The sequence below is a fragment of the Homo sapiens genome, chromosome 8 (genome assembly GCF_000001405.40).
Source record: "Homo sapiens chromosome 8, GRCh38.p14 Primary Assembly".
Taxonomy (NCBI): Eukaryota; Metazoa; Chordata; class Mammalia; order Primates; family Hominidae; genus Homo; species Homo sapiens.
The window spans coordinates 99,013,454-99,035,501 of record NC_000008.11 but is presented as its reverse complement, the minus strand read 5'-3'; the positions used below and the strand labels follow the sequence as shown (position 1 = coordinate 99,035,501).

The following is a 22,048-nucleotide window of genomic DNA, read 5'->3' as shown; positions in this document are numbered from 1 at the left end:
AATCCCATAATATACCACAACATGGATGAAACATGAGGACATTATGGTAAATAAAATAAGCCAGTTACGAAAAGATAAATACTGTATGATTCCACATATATAAGGTATCTAACATTGTCAGACTCTTAGAAAGTAGACTGGTGGTTGTCAAGGGCTGGGGCAGGGGAAAGGTAAAAAGGGAGTCATTGGTTCAATAGATAGAGAGTTTCAGTTTTACAAGACAAAAAAGTTCTGAAGATCTGCTACACAAGGATGTGCATATAATTAATAGTAATATAGTATACACTTAAAAGTGCTTAAGATGGTCATTTCTCTTTAAGAAACAAGGTCTAACTCTGTCACCCAGGCTGGAGTGCAGTGGCACAATCAGCTCACTGAAACCTCAAACTCCTGGGCTCTCCCACCTCAGCATGCCAAGTAGCTAGGATTATATGCACGTCACCACGCCCAACCAATTTTTTTAATTTTTGGCACAGATGAGTCTCACTATGTTGCCCAGTCTTGTCTTCAACTCCTGGGCTTCAAGCTAGCCTCCCATCTCAGCCTCTCAAAGTGCTGGGATTGCAGGCACGAGCTACCATGCCCAGTCTCAATGACAAATTTTATGTCACATGTTTGTTACTACAGGAACACACACACACGCGCGCGCATGCGACAAGACTTCAAGAGTGCTGAATGAGGAGCTCGGCAAATCCTCTCCCCAAAAAGCAATGACAAAACAGGACAAAGTTGTCAAAAACAACAGACAGCTCAGCAGCAATAAGAGTAAGGCTAGCATAGGGTCACAATACAATTTGGGTCAGGCAACAAAACAGCAAACCAGCCCAAAAATTAACAGAGAAATCTGGAAAATGATATAGCCCAACAGGGTCTTGCCAGGGTCTCACATATATATTACTGGTAGTCTAGAAAGTTGTATGCATGTGCAAGATAGTACTTACTCAGAAGACTGTATATCTGTTGTTCCACCAGATACACAGATATAATCCCCTAAGCAACCACAAAGAGAGGGCAGTAACTAGCAAGCTACTCATTTCGAGTTAACCATGAGGCCTCATGAACATAGAGAATTTAAAAAAAAAAAAAACAGACTTATAATCTCCTGACTTTGAAAGTATTACCCAATAAATGTATATATCCCATGCCAAAGAGTAAATACCTAACTAGCTCAAAGGTTTAAACAACCTCCAAACAATCACTGGCTGATGACTAAGTTATAGTAACCCAGCGAAATTCCTAGAATGCCAGGCTTAAAAATAGAAAAGAGAATTTGTTTTAATGAGCAGAGAAATCAGAAGGCACACGAAACAGACATCACAAAATTAGTCGAGGCAAGTCAATAAACAAATAATCCTGAAACAACAACCATCTCCTGGGGGAGAAGAAATCAAAATCCAAAGCTGCTGCAATATATTACACAAAATGTCCAATTTACAACAAACAACTATGACACATGCAAAGTGTACAGAAATAAAAATAGTCAATAGAAACAAACTATCTGTGAAGGAGATCAAATACAGGACTTGGTACACAAAGACTTCAAAACATCAATTCCAAATATGTTCAAAGAAATAAGGGAAACCATATACAAATAATTTTTTTTTTTGAGATGGAGTCTCACCCTGTCACCCAGGCTGGAGTGCAATGGCATGATCTTGGCTCACTGCAACCTCTGCCTCCCGGGTTCAAATGATTTTCCTGCCTCAGCCTCCCGAATAGCTGAGATTACAGGCACCCACCACCACACCCAGCTAATTTTTGTATTTTTAGTAGAGATGCGGTTTCACCATGATGGTCAGGCTGGTCTTGAACTCCTGACCTCAAGTGATCCACCCACCTCAGCCTCCCAAAGTGCTGGGATTACAGACAGGTGTGAGCCACCGCACCCAGCCTCATATTCAAATAATTAAAGAAACATATGACAACAGTGATTCATCAATTAGAAAATGTCAATAAAAACAAATTACAAAAAAAATGAAAATTTTGGAGTTGAAAGTACAATCAACAAAATAAAAAATTCACTAGAAGGGCTCAGCAGCAGATTTGAATTGGCAAAAGAATCAGTGAATTCAAATCCAAATATATCATAGTCAAACTGCAGAAAGCCAGGGACAAAAAATATATAGATATTGAGAGCAGAAAGACAAAAATAATTTTTCAGGTACAAGGAAACTTTTAGTAGATTAACACCTAATTTCTCCAAGAATTCTATATCCAGCAAAATTATCCTTCAATAATGCAAGCAAATTAAAATATACTCAAATAAAGAATAAGATAATTGATTCCTAGCAGAATATTAAAGGAAGTTCATTAGGCTGAAAGGAAGTAGCAACAGCTACTTCACACAACAAATTCACACAACAAAACGATACAGGTAATTATGTTGGTGACTAGTAAAGGACAGTATAAATGCTTTTTTCTCCTTTGTTCTTCTGGTTTAAAAGGAAATTGCATAAAACAATAATGATAAAATTGTATAGTTGAACTTTTAACAAGATGCAATATATGTGACAATAACAGCACAAGCAGCAGAAGAAAATGGAGCTATAGTAGAGAAATGTTCTCTATTTTAATGGAATAAAGTTATCAATAATCTCAACTAGTTTGCAGTAAATCAGATGCATATTATAATCCCCCAAGCAATCACAAAGAAAATAATTCGGGCCAGGCGCAGTGGCTCACACCTGTAATCTCAGCACTTTGGGAGGCTGAGGCAGGTGGATCACGAGGTCAGGAGATCGAGACCATCCTGGCTAACATCGTAAAACCCTGTCTCCACTAAAAATACAAAAAAAAAAAACAAAAATAGCCCGACATGGTGGTGAGCACCTATAGTTCCAGCTACTCGGGAGGCTGAGGCAGGAGAATGGCGTGAACCCGGGAGGCGGAGCTTACAGTGAGTTGAGATCGCGCCACTGCACTCCAGCCTGGGTAACAGAGCGAGACTCTGTCTCAAAAAAAAAAAAAAAGAAAAGAAAGAAAGAAAGTAATTCAAAAGCAATTTGAAAATCAATAAAGGAATTAAAATAGAACATCAAAAATATCAATTTATTACAAAAGAAATTAATAAATATCAGAGGAACAAAAAAGACATGAGGCACACAGAAAATAATAGCAAAATGATAAATGTAAATCCAATCATATGAATAAAAATTAGAAGTGAACAGATTAAAAACTTCAATCAAAATGGTACCCAATGTTCATCTCCTCCACAAAGAAAAACCAAAACAACAAATAGAGCAGTTTGAGTTTAGTGTCTATGGGAGAACAATGGAACTCATCAGGAAGTAATGAAGATCTTCTGAGGTACAGAAACTCCACATGTCAGCATAAAGGGGAAAGGAGAGCACCTGGCCAAGATCAGCCTGGAGCCAGAAGGGACTCCCTATTGACGAGAAAAGTTAAGCAAGACATCCTCAGCAGTCCCCATGACCACTGTGGATACTTGCAATCCAAGCTACAGGGCAGTTCCACAGTCCTCACAAGCCCTGAGTCCAGTATAGGGAGCTACCTGAGGTCCATAAGGCTGGATTGCTCCAAAGAGAGAATTCGCATTTGATCCACTGAATTCCTCAGGATCCAAGTTGCTGCAGTACTATATCATTTGGAGAATGAAGCAACTGCTGGAGTGCATTCTGCCTTGGGGCTCAATAGCCCTGGCATCTCTACATCCCTTGGACACTGTAATCAGAAAATGGCAGCTGAGAAATAGCAGCCATTTCTCAGGGACTAAGGACCAGCCTGCCTAGCATTCCTCACCCCAAGCAAAGCCACACCACTGCCTCCACAAACACCCACAATCTAGCCCACTGAGGCACTCACAGAAAATGCTGATATTGATGACGGGTGAAGAAATCACATAGAAATTACACTACTGCACCCAATGAGGAAAAAAGCCTAAACACCCTACTCAACCAGTACTGTAAGTCAAATCTACAGGAAAAAGTTTTTTCCTACGAAAACTACTTCATAAAATTGGAAGAGGTGGTTGTTCCTCTAGATAAACAGATATCAAGCTAGGGACACAAGAAACACGAAAAGGCATGGAAACATGACACCTCAAAGGAATACAGTAATTCTCTAATAACATACCCCAAGGAAGACAAACCTATAAAATACCTGAAAAGAATTCACAGTAATTTCTTAAGGAAACTCAGTGAAATACAAAAGAATACAGATAGTTAATTCAACAAAATCAGAAAAACAATTCATGATCTGAATGAGAAATTCAACGAACAGATATATGCCATAAAAAAGAACCAAACAGAAATCTTGGCATTGAAGAAGTCAGTGAATAAAATTAAAAAATACAATTGAAAGCTTCGGCAATACACTAGATCAAGCAGAAGAATTTGTGAACTTGAACATAAGTCTTTTGAAATACAGGAAATCTTCACCTGACATCATCAGTGGGTTCTTGGAAACTGTGATTTAAATGAAACAACATGTAACAAAACTAATTTTACCTAGGCTAACTGATATAAACAAAAGTTCCTACAGCCTACGTCTAGTCACAAAAACATCACCAATATTGTAAAGAGTCAAACCACTTCTAATATCAAATACTGAAATAGATGTAGGTTATATGTACATTTAAGAAAGATTAATGAAATTATTAAATTAGTATCAAATTAGTACACTACTAAATTAATAAAATTAAGATTAATAAATATTTACCAAATTTATGAATTGGCGAATGACAGAAGTCACAATGGTTATGAATGAAATCATGAAATAAATGTTTGCAAAGTGAAAACGAGCATCCTCTAATGCCACACAGTTAAAAAAACAATGAATATGGTGAGATCACTGAGTGCTTTCTGAACGCATAATATATTGTGCATTTGTATGATTATCATATACTTTACGCATTTTTATTTTATAGTAACGTGATCATTCATTTTCCAACCTGCTTATTCCAGTTCAGTGTCACAGGTGGCTGAAGCCTATCCAGACACTCAGGGTAAAAAGTGGAAACCAGTTCTGGACAGGACACCATTACATCATGGTACACACACACACACACACACACACACACACTCACTCACTCATACTGGGACAATTTAGACATACCAGTTAACCAAACATTCACATCTTTGGGAAGCAGAAGGAAACCAGAGTATCCGGAGAAAACCCATGCAGACATGGGGAGAACAAGCAAACTCCATAAAGACAGAGGTCCTAACCAGAAATCATTTTTGTCTCAGCAACATTATAACTAAACAACGCTGAACATTATTTTGAGGTCCTGCTGTACCCAGGTTAGCCGAAAAAAAAAAACAAAAAAAACAGATAATTAAAAAGAATGAGAAGAACGCCTACAGGGCCTATGGGATACTATTAAGTAAAAAAAAAAAAAAAAAAAAGCATGTATTTTTGGAGATCCAGAAGAAGAGAACAGACAAAGCATATAAAACCTATTTAAATAAATAATTGCTGAAAACATCTCAAGTCACGGAAGAAATATAAACATCCAGGTCCAGGAAGCTCAAAGTTTCCCAAATAGACTCAACCCAAAAAGGTCCTCTCAGGATACATTATAGTCAAACTGAGAAAAGATGAACATTATAGTGAAACTGTCAAAATTCAAACACAAAGAGAATTTTAAAAATAGGAAAAGTGTGAAGTAACATACCAGGGACTCTCCATAAAACTAACAGCCCTCTCCCTCTCCCTCTCCCTCTCCCTCTCCGTCTCCCTCTCCCTCTCCCTCTCCCTCTTTCCACGGTCTCCTTCCACGGTCTCCCTCTGATGCCGAGCCAAAGCTGGACTGTACTGCTGCCATCTCGGCTCACTGCAAAATCCCTGCCTGATTCTCCTGCCTCAGCCTGCCGAGTGCCTGCGATTGCAGGCGCGCGCCGCCACACCTGACTGGTTTTCGTTTTTTTTTTTGGTGGAGACAGGGTTTTGCTGTGTTGGCCGGGCTGGTCTCCAGCTCCTAACCGCGAGTGATCCACCAGCCTCGGCCTCCCAAGGTGCCGGGATTGCAGACGGAGTCTCGTTCACTCAGTGCTCAATGGTGCCCAGGCTGGAGTGCAGTGGCGTGATCTCGGCTCGCTACAACCACCTCCCAGCCGCCTGCCTTGGCCTCCCAAAGAGCCGAGATTGCAGCCTCTGCCCGGCCGCCACCCCGTCTGGGAAGTGAGGAGCGTCTCTGCCTGGCCGCCCATCGTCTGGGATGTGAGGAGCCCTCTGCCTGGCTGCCCAGTCTGGAAAGTGAGGAGCGTCTCTGCCCGGCCGCCATCCCATCTAGGAAGCGAGGAGCGCCTCTTCCCCGCCGCCATCCCATCTAGGAAGTGAGGAGCGTTTCTGCCCGGCCGCCCATCGTCTGAGATGTGGGGAGCACCTCTGCCCCGCCGCCCTGTCTGGGATGTGAGGAGCGCCTCTGCCCGGCCGCAACCCTGTCTGGGAGGTGAGGAGCGTCTCTGCCCGGCCGCCCCGTCTGAGAAGTGAGGAAACCCTCTGCCTGGCAACCACCCCGTCTGAGAAGTGAGGAGCCCCTCCGCCCGGCAGCCGCCCCGTCTGAGAAGTGAGGAGCCCCTCCGTCCGGCAGCCACCCCGTCTGGGAAGTGAGGAGCGTCTCCGCCCGGCAGCCACCCCGTCCGGGAGGGAGGTGGGGGGGGTCAGCCCCCATAAGCGCTAACTTAAGGGGTCAGCCCCCCGCCCGGCCAGCCGCCCCATCTGGGAGGTGAGGGGCTCCTCTGCCCGGCCGCCCCTACTGGGAAGTGAGGAGCCCCTCTGCCCGGCCAGTTGCCCCGTCCAGGAGGGAGGTGGGGGGGTCAGCCCCCCACCCGGCCAGCCGCCCCGTCCGGGAGGGAGGTGGGGGGGTCAGCCCCCCACCTGGCCAGCCACCCCGTCCGGGAGGGAGGTGGGGGGGGTCAGCCCCCCGCCCGGCCAGCTGCCCCGTCCGGGAGGGGGGAGGGGGGTCAGCCCCCTGCCCGGCCAGCCGCCCCGTCCGGGAGGGAGGTGGGGGGGGGGGTCAGCCCCCCGCCCGGCCAGCCGCCCCATCCAGGAGGTGAGGGGCTCCTCTGCCCAGCCGCCCCTACTGGGAAGTGAGGAGCCCCTCTGCCCCGCCAGCCGCCCCGTCCGGGAGGGAGGTGGGGGGGGTCAGCCCCCCGCCCGGCCAGCCGCCCCATCCGGGAGGGAGGTGGGGGGGTCAGCCCCCTGCCCGGCCAGCCGCCCCGTCCGGGAGGTGAGGGGCACCTCTGCCCGGCTGCCCCTACTGGGAAGTGAGGAGCCCCTCTGCCCGGCCACGACCCCGTCTGGGAGGTGTGCCCAGCGGCTCATTGGGGATGGGTCATGATGACAATGGCGGTTTTGTGGAATAGAAAGGCGGGAAGGGTGGGGAAAAGATTGAGAAATCGGATGGTTGCCGGGTCTGTGTGGAGAGAAGTAGACATGGGAGACTTTTCATTTTGTTCTGTACTAAGAAAAATTCTTCTGCCTTGGGATCCTGTTGATCTGTGATCTTACCCCCAACCCTGTGCTCTCTGAAACATGTGCTGTGTCCACTCAGGGTTAAATGGATTAAGGGCGGTGCAAGATGTGCTTTGTTAAGAGTCATCACCACTCCCTAATCTTAAGTACCCAGGGACACAAACACTGCGGAAGGCCGCAGGGTCCTCTGCCTAGGAAAACCAGAGACCTTTGTTCACTTGTTTATCTGCTGACCTTCCCTCCACTATTGTCCTATGACCCTGCCAAATCCCCCTCTGCGAGAAACACCCAAGAATGATCAATAAAAATAAAAATAAAAAATAAAAAAATAAAAAAATAAAAAAAACTAACAGCAGATTTCTCAGCAGAAACATAGGCCAAGAGACAATGGGATGCCATATTCAAAATGATGAAAGAAAACAAACTGTGAGCCAAGATTACCATATCTAGTAAAACTACCCTTCAGAAATGAAGGAAAACTAAAATCTCCCAGAGAAGCAAAAAATGAGGTAATTTATCACCACTAGACTAGATGTAGAAGAAATGATTAAGGGAATCCTAGAACTGAAAGCGAACAGACTATAACTACCATCATGAAAACATGAAGAAGTGTCAATCTCACTGATGAAGCAGATTCACAAATGAGAAAGAGAAGTAAAACTTATCACCACAGAAACCACCAAACTGCAAAGATAAACAATAGGAAAGTAAGGAAGGAAGAATGGATATATATTTAAAAAAAAAAAGGCAATTAGCAAAATGACAACAGAAATTCCTCACCTATCAATAATAACCTTGAATGTAAACAAATAAAAACCCCAAATTAAAAACTATAATCCTCAATTAAAAGCTATAAACTGGATGAATGGATTACCAAAACCAAGACCTGGCTGGCCACAGTGGCTCACACATGTACTCCCAGCATTTTGGGAGGCCGAGGCAGGTAGATCACCTGAGATCAGGAGTTTTAAGACCAGCCTGGCCAACGTGGTGAAACCCCATCTCCATAAAAATACAAAAATTAGCTGGGCATGATGTTGGGTGCCTGTAATCCCAGCAATTTAGGAGGCTGAGGCGGGAGAATCACTTGAACCTGGGAGGCAGAGTTTGCAGTGAGCCAAGATTGCACCGCTGCACTCCAGCCTGGGTGACAGAGTGAGACTCCGTCTCGGAGCGGGGGAAAAAAAAAATAAATAAAACAAGACCCAACTATATGCTGCCTATAAGAAACTCACTTCTGTAAACATACACATAAACTTAAAATGAAAAAATGAAAAAAGTTCCACCAAAAATGAATAGGAGTAGTTATCCTTATATCAGAAAAAATACACTTTAAGTCACAAACTATATAAGGAGACAAAGAAGGTCATCATATAATAATAATGAAGTCAATTTGGCAAGCATCTATAACAACTATAAATATATACACACTCACTACTAGAACACTCAGATAGATAAAGCAAATATTATTAGATCTAAAGAGAGAGATAGACTCCATTACAATAATAGTTGGGGACTTGAACACCCCACTCATAGCATTGAACAGATCGCTGGCAGAAAATCAGCCAAAAATATCAAATTTCAATTGCACTTTAGACCAAATAGACCTAACAGATATTTACAGAACAACAGCTGCGGGATACATTCTTGCCATTAGCACACAAAAAAATTCTCCAAAAATTTTAAAAGTCCAAGTCATATCAAGTTTCTTTTCTAACCACAATAGAATAAAACTAAAAATCAGTAACAAGTACACTTTGGAAACTGTACAAATACACGAAAATTAAACAGCATGTTCTTGAACAACCAATGGATCAATAAAAAATTAAACAAGAAATTTTAAAATTTCTTGAAACAAATGAAAATAGAAATACAACATAGCAAATCCTACGGAATATAGCAAAAACAGTACAAACAGTTTTTAGCATTAAACAGTTGTATCAAGAAGTTGAAAGATTTCAAATAAACAACCTAACAATGCATGTCAAGGACCTAGAAAAGCAAGAACAAAACAAACACAAAATTAGTAGAAGGAAAGATATTATGAGGATCAGAACAAAATAAATGAAATAGAGACCAAACAATACAAAGGATCAACAAAATGAAAAGCTGGTTTTTTGAAAAGATAAACAAAATCAGCAAACTATTACACAGACTAAGAAAAAAAGAGACCAAACCACAGAAATACAAAGGATCGTTAGTGACCATTATGAACAAGTATTCACCAATAAATTAGTATACCTAGAGAACACAAATAAATTCCCGGACACATATAATCTACCAAAATTGAACCAAGAAGAAACAGAAAACCTGAACAGTCCAATACCGAGTAATGAGATTGAATCAGTAATAAAATCACTCAACAAAGAAAAGCCTGGGACTGAATGGCTTCACTACTGAATTCCACTAAACTTTTGAAAAAGAATACCAATTCTTCTCAAACTATTCCAAAAAACTGAAGGATAGAAAATCCTTCCTAACTCATTCTACAAGGCCAGTATTACCCTAATAACAAAACCAAACAAGGAAACAACAGAAAAAGAAAACAAGACAATATGCCTGATGAACATAGATGCAAAATCCTCAACAAAATACTAGCAAACCAAATCTAATAGCACAGCAAAATGATTATACACCATAATTAAATGGGATTTATCCCAGGAATGCAAGAATGGGCCAAAAAGCTTTTCCTCTAAGAACTGGAAAAAGACAAAATGCCCATTTTCACCACCCTTATTCAACATAGTACTGAAGTCCCAGCCAGAGTAATTAAGCAAGGGAAAAAAATTTTTTGAAACAGGGATCAAAATTGGAAAAGAAAAAGTCAAACTGTCCCTATTTGCAGAAGACAAGATCTCATATGCAGAAATACCTAAAGACTCTATCAAAAAAACTCTTAGAACTGATAAATTCAGTAAAGTTGCAGGATACAAAATCTACAAAAATCAGTAGTGTTTCCATACAACGATAACAAACTAGCTGAAAAAGAAATCAAGAAAGTGATCCCATTTCGAATAGCTACAAAAAATAAAATACCTTAGAATAAATTTAATCAAGGAGGTAAAAGATCTCTACAAAAAAAAATGACAGGACACTGGTGAAAGAAATTGAGGAAGACACAAAGAAATTAGAAAGACATCTCATGTTCATGAATTGGAAAAACTGTTGTTAAAATGACCCAAAAAGATCTACAGATTCAATGCAATTCCTATTAAATTATCAATGCTATTCTTTACAGATACATAACAAGCAAAGATAAAATTTGTATTTGGCTACTAGACTCTGAATAACCAAAGCAATTCTGAGCAAAAGAACAAATCTGCAAGCATCACAATTTCTGACTTCAAAATAAACTACAAAGCTATAGTAATCAAAACAGCATGGTACTTGCATAAGAACAGACATACAGACCAGGAGAACAGAACAACAAAACCAAAAACAAACCCACATATTTATGGCCAATGGATTTTTAACAAAGGCATGAAGAACACACATTAGGGAAAGGACAGTCTCTCCAATCAATGGTGCCATGAAAACTGGATATCCATAAGCAAAAGAGTGACACTAGATCCCGATCTCTCACCATATACAAAAATCAACTCAAGATGGACTAAAGACTTAAATGTAATTCCTGGAACTATGGAACTACTAGAAGAAAACATAAGAGAAAATGCTTTGGGACTTTGGTCTAGACAAATATTTTATTGTATTTTATAAGAGGTTAATATCCATAATACACAAGGAACTCAAACAACTCAATAGCACACATGTGCGCATGCACACACAAACACGCTCTCACACACACGCACAAAGAGACTCCAATTTTAAAATAGGCAATTGCTCTGAGTAGACATTTCTCAAAAGGCGACACATAAATGGCCAACAGGTATATGAAAAATGTTCAACATCACTAATCACAGGGAAAATGGAAATAAAAACCACAATAAGGTATCATATCAGTTAGAATAGCTATTACCCAAACAAACAAACAAACAAACAAAATACTGCTGAGGATATAAAGAAAAGAGAACACTTACACACTTTTGGTGGGAACATATATTAGTACAGCCATTATAAAAAACACCACAAAAGTTCCTTAAAAAGCTGAAAATAGAACTAGATATAATCCAGCAATCCCACTACTGGGTGTACATACAAATAAAATTAGTATGACAGAGATATCTTGTACCTCCATGTTTATTGCAGCTCTATATACAATACAAGGATATGGAATCAACCTAACTATCCATCTACAAAGGAATGATGGATAAAGAAAATGTGGTATAAGCTGGGTGCAGTGGCTCACACCTGTAATCCCAGCACTTTGGGAGGCCAAGGCAGGCGGATCACGAGGTCAGGCATTCGAGACCAGCCTGGCCAATATGGTGAAACCCTGTCTCTACTAAAAATACAAAAATTAGCCAGGTGTGGTGGCGTGCACCTGTAGTCCCAGCTACTTGGGAGGCTGAGGCAGAAGAATCGCTTGAACCCAGGAGGCAGAGGTTGCAGTGAGCCAAGATTGCGCCACTGCACTCCAGCCTGAGCAACAGAGAAGACTCCATCTCAAAAAAAAAAAAGAAAAGAAAGAAAGAAAAGAAAATGTGGTGTGTACACACAACGGAATACTATTATGCCAGAAAAAAAATCTTGTCTTTTGCAGCAACATGAATGGAAATGAAGGTCATTATGTTATGTGAAATAAGTCAAGCACAGAAAGACAAATATTGCATATTCTCATACATAGGGCTGAAAAAGTTGATATCATAGAAGTAGAGAGTATAACAGTGGTTACTAGATACTAGGAAGGTAAAGAAAAAATGGGGACTAGGAAGATGTTTATTAACAGATACAAAATTACAGCTGGACCACAGGCTGGGAAGGGTAGAAGGGGTGGGAGGGGCAAGCAGGAGAGATGGTTAATGGTGGCATATGTATGTGGTCCTAGCTACTTGGGAGGCTGAGGCAAGAGAATCACCTGAGCCCATGTGGTCGAAGCTGCAGTGAGCAATGATCAACACTGCACTCTAGCCTGGGCAACAGGGCAACGCCTTGTCCAAAAGAAAAAAAAAAAGAAAAGAAAAGAGAGAGATCTCAAATCAATAACCTAAAATGTCCACCTTGAGAGTAGAAAAACAAAATCAAACCCAACCCAAAACAAGGAAAAAGAGGGACCACAATACCAAAAAGAAAAAAAAGAGGGACACTTTTCAGAATGATTTTTTTCAAGTATATTAAACAATGAGATTCATGATACTAAATTTGTATACACTTAATAACATAACTTTAAGATATATAAAGTGAAAACTAACAAAACTAAAAATGAGAAATACACAAATTCACAATCTCCATATCTCCAGACATACCTCATCATCTAGTAACTGACAGAATAAGCAAACAATGAAAATCCATATGGATTTACAAGATTTGAAGAACTCTAATGACCAATTTCTGGTAAGTGATATTTACAGAATGCTACAGCAACAAGTGCAGAATACACACTTTTTATCAATTGCACATGAAACACTTACAAAAACAGACTATATATTTATACATTTTAATAAATTAAAATCATACAGACAATGTGCTGCTGACCACAGTGGAATTAAATTAGAAATCAGTAACAGAAAGATAATTAATAAATTCCTAAATGTTTGGAAATTAAGCAATATACTTCTAAGTAAGCCAAATAATAACCCAATAATTAAAGAAATCAAAATGGAAATTATAAAATTTTTTTAACTTAATGAAAAGACAACATGAAATCCCACATGACAGTGCTAAATATATGGTTAGAGAAAAAAATTATAGCATTATATATATATATTTGAGTAGAAAAAGACTGAAAAAAAGCAATGACTTAAGTTTCCAACTCAGGAAACTAGAAAAAAGAAAAGTAAACCAAATCCAAAAAAAGTGAAAGAAATTATAAAAATAAGAACAAAAATAAATGACAAAGAAAGCACAAGTACAATTCAAAAAAGAATCAACAAAAAGAAAAATTAGTTCTTTGAAAATATTAATAAAATTAATAAGACCCTAGCAATATCGATGAAAAAAATACAAATTACGAGCATCAGACATGAAAAGAAGATATCACAGCAGATCCTATAGATACATTTTTGTAAATCAGGCAGCTTTATAATAAACACCAGCCTGGGCATAAGGGGCTCACGCCTGTAATCCCAACACTTTGGGAGGCTGAGGTTGGAAGATCATTTGAGCCCAGGAGTTTGAGACTGGCCTGGGAAACATCGTGAGACCTCGTCTCTACAAAAAGTATAAAAATTATTCGGGCATGGTGGCACTGGCACTCAGAGGGGGCAGAGGTGGGAAGATAGCTTGAGCCTGGGAGGTCAAGACTGCAGTGAGCTATGATCATGCCACTGCACTCCAGCCTGTGCAACAGAGTGAGACTTTGTTTTTTTGTGTTTTTGTTTTTTTTTTGAGATGGAGTCTTGCTTTGTTGCCCAGGCTGGAGTGCAGTGGCATGATCTCGGCACACTGCAACCTCCGCCTCCTGGGTTCAAGCAATTCTCCTGCCTCAGCCTCCTGAGTAGCTGGGATTACAGGCGCCCGCCACCACACCCAGCTAATTTTTGTATTTTTAGTAGAGACAGGGTTTCACCAGTTTGGTCAGGCTGGTCTCGAACTCCTGACATCGTGATCCACCCGCCTCGGCCTCCCAAAGTGCCGGGATTACAGGCATGAGCCACCGTGCCCAGCCACAGTGAGACTTTGGCTCAAAAAATTAAAAAGTAAACAACAAAAAAACCAACTTTATTCCTTACATATAACGATTTAGAGCAGGACAGCAAACTTTTTCAGTACAGAGGGAGACAGTAAATACTTTAGGCTTTTGCAAGCCACTCAATCTCTGTCCTAGCTACTTAATCCTTCTGTTTTAGGGCGAAAGCAGCCATAGACAATAAACAAAATGAATAGCTATGTTTCAATAAAACTGTATTTACAAAAGCAGGCCCAGGACACAGTTTGCTGATCCCTAATTTTCAAGAAATAGGGAAATTCCTTGAAAGATACAACTCACCAAAACTGACAACACCAGAAATAAAAGTCTAAATGATCCTATATGTCTTAAATTAAATCAGCAGTTTATAACTTTACATCATTACCCAGATGACTTCATGTTTAATTCTTCCTAACACTTAAAAAACTGAGAAGTTGGTGATCTCACACTTCCTGATTCTGAAACTCACTACGATGCTACAATAATCCAAACAGTGTGATAGTATCATAAAGGCAGACATATTACTCAATGGAATAGGATTGAGAGCCCAGAAATAAACTCTCACATCTATGGTCAAATGATTTTTGACAAAGGAACCAAGACCATTCAATGTGAAAGTACAGATGTCAACAAATGGTGTTAGGAAAACTGAATATCCACATTTTAAAAAAAGAGAGAAAGGTTGCAACACTACCTTATACTATGTAAGAACAAAAAAATTAGAAGAAAACATAGGAGAAAACCTTCATGACATTAGATTTGACAATGATTTCTTGGATATGACAGCAAAAATCCAGACAATGAATGAGAGAAATAGCTAAGTTGGACTTCATCAAAATTAAAAACTTTGGTGCATCAAAGGACACTATTATAGAGTAAGATGCCACTGACAGCATGTGAGAAAATATCTGCAAATCATGTATCTGCTAAGGGATTGATATCCACAATACATAAAGAACTCCTATAACTCAACAACAACAAAAAACAAAGAACCCGATTCAAAATTGGGCAAAGGACTCAAATAGGCATTTCTCCAAAGAAGACAAACATAGCTAATAAGTACATGAGAAGAGGCTCAACATCACTAATCATTTGAGAAATGCAAATTAAAACCACATTGAGATATCATTTCATACCCATTAGGATAGCTATATTTAAAAAAAAAAAACACGTAAAACAACAAGTGTTAGTGACGATACGGAGCACTTCGAACCTTTGCACATTGCTGGTAGGAATGTAAAACAATGCAATCATTGTGGAAAACAGTATGGTGATTCCTCAAAAAATTAAACACAGAATTATCACGTGATCTAGCAATTCCACTTCTGGGTATATACCCAAATAAATTAAAAGCACAGTCTCAGGTATATTTGTACACCTACCTTCATATCAGCATTATAGCCAAAAGATGAAAGCAACCCAACTATCCATCAACGAATAAATGAATGAACAAAATGTGGCATGTACATATAATAGATTATTTAGACATAAAAACAAAGGACATAGTGGCATATGCTACAACATAGATAAGCTTTTTGAGACATTGTGCTAAGTGAAATATGCCAATAACGAAAGAACAAACACTGAATGATTCCACTTATATGAAGTACTTAAAATAGTCAAATTCATACAGTCATAAAGTAGAATGGTGGTTGCCAAGGGGCTGGGAACAGGGGAAAATAGGGAGTTGGTGTCTAATGGATACAGAATTTCAGTTTGGGAAGACGAAAATATTCTAGAGATGAGTAGTAGTGATGGTTGCACAACAATGTAAACATACGTAATACCACAGAATCGTACATTTAAAAATGATTAAAATGGGCCAGGCACGATGGCTCATGCTTGTAAGCCCAGCACTTTGGGAGGCCAAGGTGGGTGAGGTCAGGAGTTTGAGATCAGCCTGGCCAACATGGTGAAACCCAATCGCTACTAAAAATACAGAAAAATTAGCCGGGTGTTGTCGTGGGCACCTGTAATGCCAGCTGCTTGAGAGGCTGAGGCAGGAAAATCATTTGAACCCAGGAAGTAGAGGTTGCAGTGAGCCAAGATCGCACCACTGCACTCCAGCCTGGGCAACAAGAGTGAAACTCTATCTCAAAAAAAAAAAAAAAAAAATGTTTAAGATGATAAATGTTGTATTATACATATTCTATCACAATTTTAAAAAAACCACTAACATTGATCTTACATAAACTGTTAGAGATTATAAAAAGAGGGAATACCTCACAAATAAATCAATAAGGCCAATATATATATATGACATTCAAAACCAGGTAATCACATTACGAGAAAGGAAAATCATAGGCTAGTATCACTTATAAGCAAAGACACAACAAAATCAATCAAAATTTAACAAATTGAATCCAACAATATGTAAAAAAGATAATATATAATCAGGTTTATTCCAGGAATGCAAGGTTTAGATTTGAAAACAATGTAATTTACCACATTAACAAAATAAAAGAGAAAAATCATATATCAACTCATTAAGTGTAATATTTGATCAAATTCAGCATTCATTTATGATTTTTTAAAACTCATTGGAAAATCATTAATAGAAAAGAATCTCAACTCAGTAAAGGTTATTTATAGCTAACAACATACTTAATAGTAAAACATTGAATACTTTCCCACTGAAATTAGAAACAAAAAAGGATGTCTATTCTCATGACCTCTACTCCACATTATATAAAAGGTCCTAGCCCACTGCAATAATGAAATGAAATGAAATAAAAGATACAAGTATTGGATAGAAAGATGTAAAACTGTCATTATTTGCAGGTGACATGATTGAACATGGACAATCCAAAAGAACCTACCAAAAACTGTTAGACAAGTTGGGCCACTGGATAGGTCGACATACTAAAATTGATTTTATTTCCTGTACTGGTAACAAATTATTTAAAAATAGAGGTTTTTTTGTGTTTGCTTTTTGAGACAGAGTCTCACTCTGTCGCCCAGGCTGGAGTCCAGTGGCACAATCTCAGCTTACTGCAACCTCCACCTTCCCAGTTCAAGTGATTCTTGTGCCCCAGCGTCCCAAGTAGCTGGGATTACAGGCGTGAGCCACCACACCTGGCTAATTTTTGTATTTTTAGTAGAGACGAGGTTTTGCCATATTGGCTAGGCTGATCTCGAACTCCTGACCTCAAGTGATCCACCCACCTTGGCCTCCCAAAGTGCTGTGACTGATTACAGGCAAGAGCCACCACACCTAACCAGAAAATAGAGGTTTTTAAAATGCTACTTAAACATCCATAAAAAGAGGTAAAATTTAATGAAATACATGCAAAATTTCTCTAAAAAGTTCAAAACATTGCTGAGAGAAATTAAAGGCCTAAAAATATGAAAAGCAATGCTCTGTACATGAATTGAAAAACTCAAAACTATGTCAGCTCAATGTTAATATGTTAATTCATCCAAAATTGATCGATAGATTCAATGTAATCTCAGCAAAAAACACTAACAGCTTTCCTTTTTAGAAATTAATTCTAAAAGTTATAAGTTGAAATTAAAATGTATATGATAGGCTGGGCGTGGTGGCTCATGCCTGTAATCCAGCACTTTGGGAGGCCAAGGCGGGTGGATCACCTGAGCTCAGGAGTTCGAGACCAGCCTGGCCAACATGGTGAAACCCCGTCTCTACTAAAAATACAAAAGTTAGCCAGGCGTGGTGGTGCACACCTGTAATCCCAGCTACTACGGAGGCTGCAGCAGGAGAATTGCTCCACAGGGAGGTGGAGGTTGCAGTGAGCCGAGATCACACTACTGCACTCCAGCCTGGGCTACAGAGCAAGACTCTGTCTCAAAAAATAAAAATAAAAAAATAAAATGTATATGGAAATACAAAGGACCTAAAATAGTTATGACAATCTTGAAGGAGAAAAGAACAAAGTTGTACTAATTACACTGAGATACCAACCAAGTCTTATTATAAAAGCTACAGTAACCATATGGAGTGACACAAGAATAGACAAATAGACCACTCAATAGAATAAAGAGTTCAGAAACAAATCCACACACATATGGCAACCTGATTTACAGCAAAGGCTTACTGTAATTGAGTAGGGAAAGAAGAGTTCAACAAATGGTATAGATCAACTGACTATCAATGGAAAAAAATTAACCTTAACCTCTATTACTCATATGCAGAAAAAAAATTTGAGATGAATCATGGAATTCAATAAAGCTCCTAAAAGAAATATAAAAGAATATTTTCACGATGTTGGTGTAAGCTAAGATTTCTTAAACAAGACTAGAAAAACCCTAACCACAAGGGAAAAGATTGATAAATTGGACCTCAGTAAGATTATTAACTTTTATTCATCAAGACACCTTTATGAGTAAAGAGACAAGCCACAAACTGAGAGTAAATACTGCAAAACATCTATCTGGCAAAGGACTCATTTCCAAAATATATAAAGAATTCCTGGCCGGGCGCAGTGGCTCATGCCTGTAACCCATCACTTTGGGAGGCCGAGACAGGAGGATCACAAGGTCAGGGAATCGAGACCATCCTGGCTAACATGGTGAAACCCTGTCTCCATTAAAAATACAAAAAATTAGCCGGGCATGGTGGCGGGCGCCTGCAGTCCAGTTACTCGGGAGGCTGAGGCAGGAGAATGGTGTGAACCTGGGAGGTGAAGCTTGCAGTGAGCCGAGATCGCACCACTGCACTCCAGCCTGGGCAACAGAGCGAGACTCCGTCTCAAAAAAAAAAAAAAAAAAAAAAAGAATTCCTATATATCAATAAGACAGAAAACTCAATTTTTAAAAAAGGAAAAAAGACTTAGACTTCACAAAAAAAAAAAAAGATAGCTAAATGGCCAATAAGAATATAAAAACATAATTAGTCATTAGGAAAATACAAGTTAAAATTACAATGAGGTTATCACTACACACCCACTAGAAAGGCTAACATTAAAATAACAAACATAACAAGTAGTAGCAAAAATGTGAAATACCTGGAATGCTTATAAGTTGTTGGTAAGACTGGAATTGATATAACCACTTTGGAAGACTATTTGGCAATATAAAATGAAAACACAGGCTAAACACAGGCCTACCTTCTAGGTATACACCTAAGAGAAATTAATACTTACGTTACCAAGATAGATGTACTGGAATGTTTATGGAAGCTTTCTTCACCAGCCAAAAATATTAAAAACCCAAGTGTCCATCAACAGGAGAATGAGTAAGTAAATTGTGGAATCTTTATGCAATGGAATAGTACTGACAATACGAAAAACAAACTCTTCTAACAACATGGGTTAATCTTAGAAAGGTTGAAAGAAAAAAGCCAAACATAAATGATTCCAATTTTTTTGAGGTTCAAAACCAGGTAAAACTTATCTATGTTGACAGAAGTCAGATTACCAGTCGCCTCTTTTAGGAGTGGGGAGTACGTTCCCCTGCCCCAGATGGAGTCTCACTCTGTCACCCAGGCTGGAGTGCAGTGGCATGATCTCGGCTCACTGCAACCTCCACCTCCCGGGTTCAAGCAATTCTCCTGCCTCAGTCTCCCAAATAACTGGGATTACAGGCACATGCCACCAAGCCCAGCTAATTTTTTGTATTTTTAGTAGAGACAGGGTTTCACCATGTTGGCTAGGCTGGTCTCGAACTCCTGACCTCATGATCTGCCTGCTTTGGCCTCCCAAAGTGCTGGGGTTACAGGCGTGAACCACCGTGCCCGGCCTGGAGTACTTACAAAAACAGGTGAGCCTTTTGGGGTGCTGGAAACATTCCATTTTTTTATTGGACAGTAGTTGCACAGGTGTAAAACATTTTAAAATTGAGCTGTTGGCCAGGCGCGGTGGCTCATGCCTGTAATCCCAGCACTTTGGGAGGCTGAGGCGGGCGGATCATGAGGTCAGGAGATCGAGACCATCCTGGCTAACACGGTGAAACCCCATCTCTACTAAAAATACAAAAAATTAGCCAGGCGTGGTGGCGGGCGCCTGTAATCCCAACTACTCAGGAGGCTGAGTCAGGAGAATGGCATGAACCCGGGAGATGGAGCTTGCAGTGAGCCGAGATCGTGCCACTGCACTCCAGCCTGGGCAACAGAGCAAGACTCCGTCTCAAAAAAAAAAAAAAAAAAATTGAGCTGTTACACTTGGGATTTGTGCTCATTAAAAAATAAAATAAAATGAAAATATTAAATATTAAGCCACTCAACTAACCTTGGGAAGAGGAAAAAGAAGCAGCCAGGAGTATTATTTCTTAGTGCTAAGTCTAGATTGACTTAATAAAAGAGTAATAAAAGAGGCTGTGGACTATAACTAAAAATTATAAATAACCATCACTGTCAGATTAAGTCTTCCCTTATCTCCTAAAAAGCAGTTGGTCTCTGACTCTTCTGAGCTTGCACAGATCCTCAAGCCTAACAGAATTTCTTGGCATGTTACTAATAAATGTAATAAATGAATTAATGAATATGTGATCTTTGAAGTTACGGTTCTTTTGCATCAGACAAATCTCATGTTAAAAGAAACTAAAACGATTAATAAAGAAGTTTCCAATTTTACTGCCATTCTCAATGTATCTACTCAACACTCTGAGGATGCCGTGGGAAATGTCATCTTTCCTCATGATCTGAATCTGCTCTTTTTTTTTTTTTTTTTTGTCTTTTTTTCCTCGACCCCCACAAGCCAGCCACCCTTCCTGCTGGCTTTCAAACCCTTCCATTGCCCAAAAAGGAGAATGAGAATGTGATGTTTTCCAGGCTCATACAGAATTTTGACAACATAAATTAGCACATTCATAATGCTTGAAAATTGAGTAAGTAGACCGAACAATTCTGACATGAACAATGAAATCGTCTTTCTGTCAAAGCAACTTTAAGTAATCCCATTCTAATATACCAAAACTGGGAACAAACTATTTTTAAAAATTATGCAGGCCGGGCGCGGTGGCTCACGCCTATAATCCCAGCACTTCGGAAGACTGAGGCGGGCGGATCACCTAAGCTCAGGAGTTCGAGACCAGCCTGGCCAACATGGTGAAACCCCGTCTCTACTAAAAATACAAAAATTAGCCAGGCGTGGTGGTGCGCGCCTGTAATCCCAGCTATTAGGGAGGCTACGGCAGGAGAACTGCCTGAGTCCCGGAGGCGGAGGTTGCAGTGAGCCGAGATCACGCAGCTGCACTCCAGCTTGGGCGACAAAGCGAGACTCCATCTCAAAAAAAAAAAAAAAAAAAAAAAAAGAAAGAAAGAAAAAGAAAATAGTGTAAAATAAAGCCCCCTTGTTTCAGGGTAGCTCAAAATACATCAGTAGAAAAGTTACGTTTTTACAGCATAAAGTCAAAGCTTAGGAAACAATAGATTACCGTCTAAACAAGCTGAAAACTGTTTCCAGTTAATGACAGCTAAATAGCTTACCTGTTCCAGCACATCCAACTTTAACTCGAGCTTGCTGAGTACCACGTCTCCACCCCATAGTGAAAGCTGTAGATCCGACGGCTTTAAGTTCTTGATGTAGCGATTCACATAGCTCATTAAAATTGGAGTTACATATGACTCCAGCATCTTTTAAGGTAAGGAGTCGAAGTCGGAAGCTGAAAGGAGTAGACAGAAACGTTAGAAGTCGGCGGTAGAGTGAAGGAAAGAGCGTTCGTTATCTCAGGCCGAAAGCAGTAAGTCCCCACCAAAGCGGCCGTTCGCCTCCTCTTAGAAACAGAGAAAAACTCCAGCGGACTCCCAGCTCCAGCTGCGACTTCCTCACAAGTACAACACCCTTCGCCAAGCGAAGTGAGGGAGGAAGACGTAGTGACCAGAAGAGAGCGGGTCCCTCAGAGTGGAAGAATGAAGTGAGGCGGGCTCCCCTTCGGCCGCAGTAGCCCTTCACCAACCCAGCCACCCCG

General features: G+C 40.1%; 1 protein-coding gene across 5 annotated transcripts in view, besides 2 other annotated features; it reads right to left on the bottom strand.

The window, feature by feature from the left end:
- Positions 1-22,048, bottom strand: part of VPS13B (vacuolar protein sorting 13 homolog B) — an 864,307-nt gene that overhangs the window by 842,079 nt on the left and 180 nt on the right. For all 5 annotated transcript variants that reach the window (NR_047582.2, NM_152564.5, NM_017890.5 and 2 more), the window contains exon 2: positions 21,567-21,742. Coding sequence is in view for 4 of the 5 variants with exons in the window: in NM_152564.5 (NP_689777.3) it covers positions 21,567-21,713 (147 nt within the window). In the remaining variant the exon portion in view is untranslated. The remainder of the gene's footprint in view (positions 1-21,566; positions 21,743-22,048) is intronic.
- Positions 20,714-21,213: an enhancer, noted in NCBI's record as "H3K4me1 hESC enhancer chr8:100026517-100027016 (GRCh37/hg19 assembly coordinates)". NCBI's record gives its function as "activates a minimal SCP1, AML or CMV promoter by ChIP-STARR-seq in primed H9 embryonic stem cells {active_cell/tissue: H9 hESC(primed)}" and the evidence as "EXISTENCE:reporter gene assay evidence [ECO:0000049][PMID:30033119]".
- Positions 21,214-21,715: an enhancer, noted in NCBI's record as "H3K4me1 hESC enhancer chr8:100026015-100026516 (GRCh37/hg19 assembly coordinates)". NCBI's record gives its function as "activates a minimal SCP1, AML or CMV promoter by ChIP-STARR-seq in primed H9 embryonic stem cells {active_cell/tissue: H9 hESC(primed)}" and the evidence as "EXISTENCE:reporter gene assay evidence [ECO:0000049][PMID:30033119]".